Below are 6819 nucleotides of genomic sequence, written 5' to 3' on the forward strand. Positions count from 1 at the left end.
CTCCTCCTCCTCCTCCTCCCCGCCGGGGTGAAACTCGAGCGCCCCACCCGCGCCTGACCTCCCCGAGCCCCTCCCCGGGCCCCGCCCCTTCCCGGTACAGGACCCCCACCTTCGCTCCTGGGAGCCCCGCTGCACCCCAGGAGTTCCATTCCAGCCTCCCCAGTGCGAGTGCGGCCGAGCGCTGACTTTTGGGGGCTCCCTCCCCCGTCTCACTGGGTCCCTCTGCGGCTCCCCCGCCCGCTGTCCCGGTTCAGACGTGGCTGCACCCCGGAGGGGGGCGCCGGCCGAGACCTGAGACGTGGCGCTCCCTCTCTGCCGGCCTCGGCTTCAGGTACGTGCGGTTCCCTCGGCTAAATCTGGCCCGGGGGATGGGGGGCAGGGGCCGTCTGGTCCTCCGGAACTCGAACTTTGTGATTTTGTTCTTTCTGTGTGACATCCTCATCCGTTCTGAGGGAGAAACTCCTTAAAGAAGACGAGAGAGTCAGTCGTTGCGGGTTCTTGGAGGAGCACTTTGGGGGTGAGACTCCCGGCTAGTTCGGGTCGATTTCAGCGGGATTAAGTCAAGGAAATGAACAAATCTGACGAATCAGGGAGGCCAGAGAAGGCGTCCCCAGGTAGCCACGCTGAGCGTTAAGAGAGAAGTCCCGTATGGTCAAAGTCATTCGTCCAATTCTGTGTCAATTATTCCTTGTTGCACTTTTGCAGGATCCTTGGGCCTTACTAAGTACTCAGGTGAAAAGTTGATAATTGGGAAGCAAGTAAAGTACCTTTGAAGACGTGTATAATTGGACACTTTGTTGCAGTTCTTCAGTTTCTGGAGGAGGCGGTGGGGGGGGAGAGGGAGGGGGTCAGCCTCGCGAAAAGAGCAAATGGTAAAGTTATAGGAGTATAAGGCATAAAACTTGGGTTGGGAGTCCTGACTGGCCTTGAGTGGCCCTTTCCCACTGGATGGGGGTGCGGGACAGTATCTCTGGGCCCTTTTTACTCAGTCTGCGCCTCAGAGGGAGGCTTGAAGGTCCCCTGCATGAGGAAATGTGTGAATTGCCCCCTCCTGACCGCAGTGAGGTAGGGACCCCCGCAAGGACCCACGTTCACACCAGCGCCCTTCCAGCCAGTGGTGGGGTATGGATGGGCCTCGCTGGTCCTGGGCATGGTCCGGTGCGTCCATAAGGGTTCCATTGAGCTCATCCATAAAACAAAGAAGCTATTGCAGGCTGCAGGGTGTCATAGCTCGCACAGTAGCCATGCAGACCTAAGAGGACAATGGAAATACAAATTGCTATCGATGTGTCTTTATTTTCTAGAACTTTTTTTTAAAATAAAAGAATTAAGTGAAAGCAATTCCGAAGGTTTCTATGAAAGCCCAGCCCATCCCCAAATGCCCAGTCTCTGGCACGGGTGATCTGGCTGTCTTGGGTACTCAGGCCTTACTGGGATTTCCTTTAAGACCTCTGGGAGGAAGTGTCAGTAGCTGGGCAGGCCTTCTTGGCAAGCATTCCTCCCTGGGTTGTGGCGGGGGCTCCCGGCCTGCTGTGTGGCAGCTGCAGGCTCCTGGGGACCTGAAGGAAAAGCTTAACCGTTCTCCCTTCCCTTGCTTGGCACTTAGAGCACTAGTTCCATTCCAGACATTCCGATTATCTTGCCTACGTGGCACAGAGGCCTAGGAGCCTCCCTGGGAGGAAGAGGCAGGCCAAGGTCTTGCCTGGCTGCTTCTAGGGGGAAAGATGTAGGGAGGAAGCTGCCTTATGCTTGGATCTGCAGCCTTTGCCTGGACCTGTGGAGCCTACGTGGCCAGGGTGAGGGAGACAGAAATTAGAACCCAATGTATTCAGCTAATCCTCTTCTTGCCTCTGAACATTGCCGTTAATACTTGAAAAGAAAAAAAAAAAGCAAAAAAACTCTTGGCATATAGAGCTAAGCAGTGGGAAGAAGATAGCTTTCTAAACCATGACCCAATAGGTCTGATAACATAACATTTAACTGGATAAATTACATAATTTTGTATATATGTAGGGGGGAGTTGAATTCAGTTTTGCTGTTTACAGGCTGCACCAATGCATTGTTAAAAGATGTATATTTTAGTGATAATTGTGATTAATTACAAAATAATTGCTAATAAGCAGGTAAATAAACCAAATTATAATTTAGAGTGCATCCTTTGTTTAAAGTGAAATGGATCTAAATTGAGGATATAATTTTGAGTTTTAATCTGGGGAAAGTTCTTTAACTTTTCTGAGCTACAGTCTCTTCACCTGGAGCTTAGACACACCAGCCTGGCAGGGGTATGTCAGCTGTCTGCTTGAAAGGAGAAAGACAGTAATCTGTGTGAAATACTCACCGAGCACCCAACATATAAGCAGGCTCTTCATAAAGTCATTTTGAGGTATCCACAAGTATTTCTTTTTTCTAAACAAAATTTCTTTGTTTTTTGTTTGTTTTGCTTTGCAAAGGTCTTGCTTGCTAGAAAGCTATCTGCATTAAGCTGCTTCTCATCACATTATAAAACTAAGGATGATCATTTTTAAACAAACAAAAGTATTTAGTTATCTTTTCAAAGTAAAATATAGCTTTCCCTAAACTGTTTTAGGTGAGCCATGCACACAATGTGAAAGAATGAAGAAACCAACAAAACACTTGGTGAAAATGATGAATTCTGGGGCGCTGATTCATGTGACTTGAAAAATGCCATCCATTTCCTGATTCACCTCAATTCTGTTCGGAACTATGAAAGATCATTTATGTTTCTGCACTAATTGACCAATTTTGTCTTGTCTTTACTTCCCTCCCTAGTGCTTGAATTTCAGCCACATCCCTAAGCTGCCATCTCAGACCAGAGGAACAGGGAGGGGGGCTTTCTGGAAAGAACATCACCTGGAAGAAATCAGGACATGACTGTGGGCCATGAGTGACCTTCAAAGGAAAGCCGGGTATCTGTGGTCTTTAAGATGTGGTAAGATTGTATTAAAATTATAGAAAAAAACCTCAATCCAGAAATCGTGGCCTCTTGACATTTACATCTTAACTGCATTTTCCTACCAATGAGATGCATTACAATCATCCTCCATAAGTGTTCTCTTTTTACCCCTGTTTCCATTCTTTTAGATCCATGACATTTAAAAACTGAAGAAATGGAAAGATCATCTGATCAGGCCCATCAGTCTTTTTCCTAATGCTAAACATTGGTACAAAGACGTGAAGTTTGATGTCTCACTAAGATTGCCTAGGGCTGCTTTATTGCTCACCTACTTCAAAGTATTGGGAAAACATGATTATGGGTACAGGTGATGCTGTGTTGCCCCCAGACAGGTTTCTTTTGTCAGGTTCTTTTGATGGATTAGGAACCTACAAGTGGGGAGATTTTAGGGAAATAGCCCCTCCACTTGGATTTCACCAAAACGTCTTTAGGGTTCTCTTACCCCAAGAAACACGCATTCCTCTTTAGTGTGGCAGCCCACTCTATTGGCAAAGTTAAGCAGACCAGTTTTACTAAAAAGGAGCCACCCAGAAACTTAGACAGAAAATACTTGAGGCACAGATGAGAATGAGCACAAATGTGCATAGCAAGTGCAGTTTCCTGGCCCTTAAACTGAAGGGCCAGGTCAGTCTGCTCCTCCAGGCACAGCCTGGGACCCCATCATGTGCCCCACTCTGCAGTCTGAGCTTCCACTCAAGTCCACCAGGGCCTGCCTCACATATATATACAAGACCCAATGTCAGAGTCTGCCTCTGCCCATGTCTGGTCAGAGGGTTGCACTTTGCCACTGCTACATGTTCCCAGAGGTTGGCACAGCATGACCTGGACCTCACCTAACCCAGGCAAACTCTGCTCATCTTCGAGCTCTCTGGAACCCATTTCTCAAGGGAGAACCACATTCCCCCACCTCACAGCCAAGTTCAAGGAAGCAGCCTGGCTAAAGCAATGACTCAAGGATACCAGAAGCAGAGCACGCATTTAAGAAGATGCGCTGACTCGCAGGAGCAGCTGACTCTTCTTAAGAAGAGTTTACTGATTCTTCTTTCAGTACGGGCCTTTTAATAAGATATTGTATTTTACTTCAGCTATGGGTGCAGACAATTAAAGGATTCTAGAAATCTGAAAGTGTTTTGCCTTGTCCTCTTGGTTAAATTTCTGGATATATTGTCTAGCAACTCAATTTGCTTAAACAAAATTGTTGTGTCAAAAAAGCCCAAGTCATCTTTTATAAGTGTGGTCTGGGGAGAAGAAAAAAATGCTAAGTTTAAAAGATTTTTGGAATATCTGAAGAAAATACAGATAGCTTGTAATGGAGATGAAGCCTCTGGATGGTTTCCAGGGTGTTATTTTCCGACATTGAGTCTTGTATATATCTTGAATGTCTATAAGCAAAGAATGGCTATACTGTTTTTAAAAAGATATGTTTTATACTTATTAACCAATGTCCTCTCTATTCCTCTGCCTTTGAAAATAGAGCTTTGGGGGAAAATAAGTACCTTTGGAAATATGTTTTCAAAAATAATATTCATCCTGCTTAGATTTAGAAGCACAGATTACTCTGCCTTAGTTTACTTCATTATTTACCAGAGAGATTAACTCAAAATAACCTTGAGTTAATGAAAAGATGATTAAGTGAAATTAAACCCAAAAGTAAAATGTCTCCTGAGCAAATCCATAGAAAGAAGAGCCATCAAGCATCCAGTGGGCCCTCCATCAAGTGTTGTTTCAGGCCCTCCTTTCCAATCCATTCTCATTACCATAATTCACAGTGTCAGTGTCTCTCACCCAAACTACCAACACCTCCTCTTACCGTCTTCCTGACTCCAGTTCCAGTGATCATTCCCCAATCAGCAGCATCACACCCACCCCTCACACATACATCATCATCATCATCATTACCGTTAATAACACAGACCTGATTTTATTTGAATTGGAAACTACTTGGCTTTAAAAAAAAAAACTCCCTTGCAGCTAGGTGAGGCCATAGAACTCAGCCATAACCAATAAGATATAAGTGGAGTAGGATTCTAAGATAGGCTTTGTAAAAGGGGGCAGACAACTAAATGGGCATGGTCTTTCCTGTCCTTCTCTCCTACTTCTGGATTCCCACCTGGAAGTTGATTGTGATGGTGGAAATACCAGGCACTGGTCGGGTGCGATGGCTCATGCCTGTAATCCCAGCACTTTGGGAGGTCAAGGTGAGTAGATCACCTGAGGTCAGGGGTTTGAGACCAGCCTGACCAACATGGTGAAACCCTGTCTCTACTAAAAATACAAAAATTAGCCTGGCATGGTGACACGCACCTGTAGTCCCAGCTACTCGGGAGGCTGAGGCAGGAGAATCTCTTGAACTGGGGAGGAGGAGGTTGCAATGAGCCAAGATCAGGCACCTGCACTCCAGCCTGGGTGACAGAGTGAGACTCTGTCCCAAAACAAACAAACAAAAAATGAAATGCCAGGCACCAGTTTAGGCTCTTGAGGATATAAGTTATGAGCCAAGGATGATGGTGTAAAAAGTAGCCTAAATCCCTGGTGACTCCATGGAGCCCCTGCCTCAGCCCTGAATTACCTAACCCCAGACTTCATGACATGAGAAAGAAAGAACTTTCTGTTTTGCTTTAGCCATCATTGTTTCTGTTCTGTTTTTAGCAGGAGAATGTGATTCCTTACCAATGGAGGGGATTCAGTTCCTCCAGGTCTGGCAACCCTGCAGCTTGGGTCCAGTTTCATCCCTCAACATTGCGGCCTATGCAGCCAGTGCCCCCTCTCCCTTTCTCCCACCCAGCTTTCCCATCTGCAACCAAGCTTGTTGCACACCATGTGCCAGACGCATGGCTGCACATTCAAAATAGAATGAAAAGACACACAGGCGATCCCTGCCCTTTCAGAAGTTACAGCTTACCGAGTTACAGCTTACTGAGTTATGGAACCCACAAGTATGTAATTCTAAACCCTGATAAATGCTATGAAGGACAAATATATGGGTGTCTGGTTTAGTATGGGGAATGGGAGAGGCATCACTGAAAAAGTAGCATTTGAGATGAGATTTGAAGGATGAGTAGAGACCAGCAAGAAAGTGGGAAAGATAAAGGATAAGAGTAAGACTCCAGAAAAGGGTGGAAATGGAGATTAACTTTGGAATTTAATTCAAACACACTTGTTAACATATCAAGGATTGTAATAGTAATTGCAAATGAATAGCAATAAATACTGTCATAGTCCATTTCAGGCTGCTATAACAAAAAACCTTAAACTCAGTAATATATAAACAATAGAAATTTATTTATAACAGTTCTGGAGGCTGGAAAGTTCAAGATCAAGGCACCAGCAGGTTCAATGTCTGGTGAAGGCACAGTCTCTGCTTCCAAGATGGTGCCTTGTTTCTGCATCCTCTAGAGAAGAGGAACACTGTGTCCACACATGGCTGAAGAGCTGGATGGAGAAAAGGGCCCAGCTAATTCCCTCCAGCCCTTTTATAAGCCACTAATCCCACTTATGAGGTCAGAGCCCTTATAGCCTAATCACCTCCAAAAGGCCCCACCTCATAATATTGTTGGATTGAGGATTAACTTTCAACGTGAATTTTGGGGAGAATACAGTCAAACCATAGCATTCTTCCCCTGACCCCTCAAAATTCGTGTCCTCATATACAAAATTCATCCCAAAATCGATAACTTATTGCCCAAATTCTTAACGTGTTCCAGCATTAACTTTAAAGTCTAAGTCTAAGGTCTCATTTAAATATGATCTATATCAGATACAGCTGAGACTGAAGGTACAAGTCATCCTAAGGCACACTCCTCCAGCTCTGAGCCTATGAAATCAAACAAGCGATGTGCTTCCAA

At 45.3% G+C, this 6819-nt stretch overlaps 1 long non-coding RNA gene and 1 other non-coding gene across 2 annotated transcripts; both read left to right on the forward strand.

The window, feature by feature from the left end:
- Positions 1-4099, forward strand: SNHG18 (small nucleolar RNA host gene 18). Its single transcript, NR_045196.2, has 3 exons — positions 1-331; positions 2791-2950; positions 3103-4099. It is a non-coding gene; the product is annotated as a small nucleolar RNA host gene 18 (long non-coding RNA).
- On the forward strand, positions 2628-2715 carry SNORD123 (small nucleolar RNA, C/D box 123). Its single transcript, NR_003689.1, has one exon. It is a non-coding gene; the product is annotated as a small nucleolar RNA, C/D box 123 (small nucleolar RNA).

This window comes from Homo sapiens, chromosome 5 (genome assembly GCF_000001405.40).
Source record: "Homo sapiens chromosome 5, GRCh38.p14 Primary Assembly".
Taxonomy (NCBI): domain Eukaryota; kingdom Metazoa; phylum Chordata; class Mammalia; order Primates; family Hominidae; genus Homo; species Homo sapiens.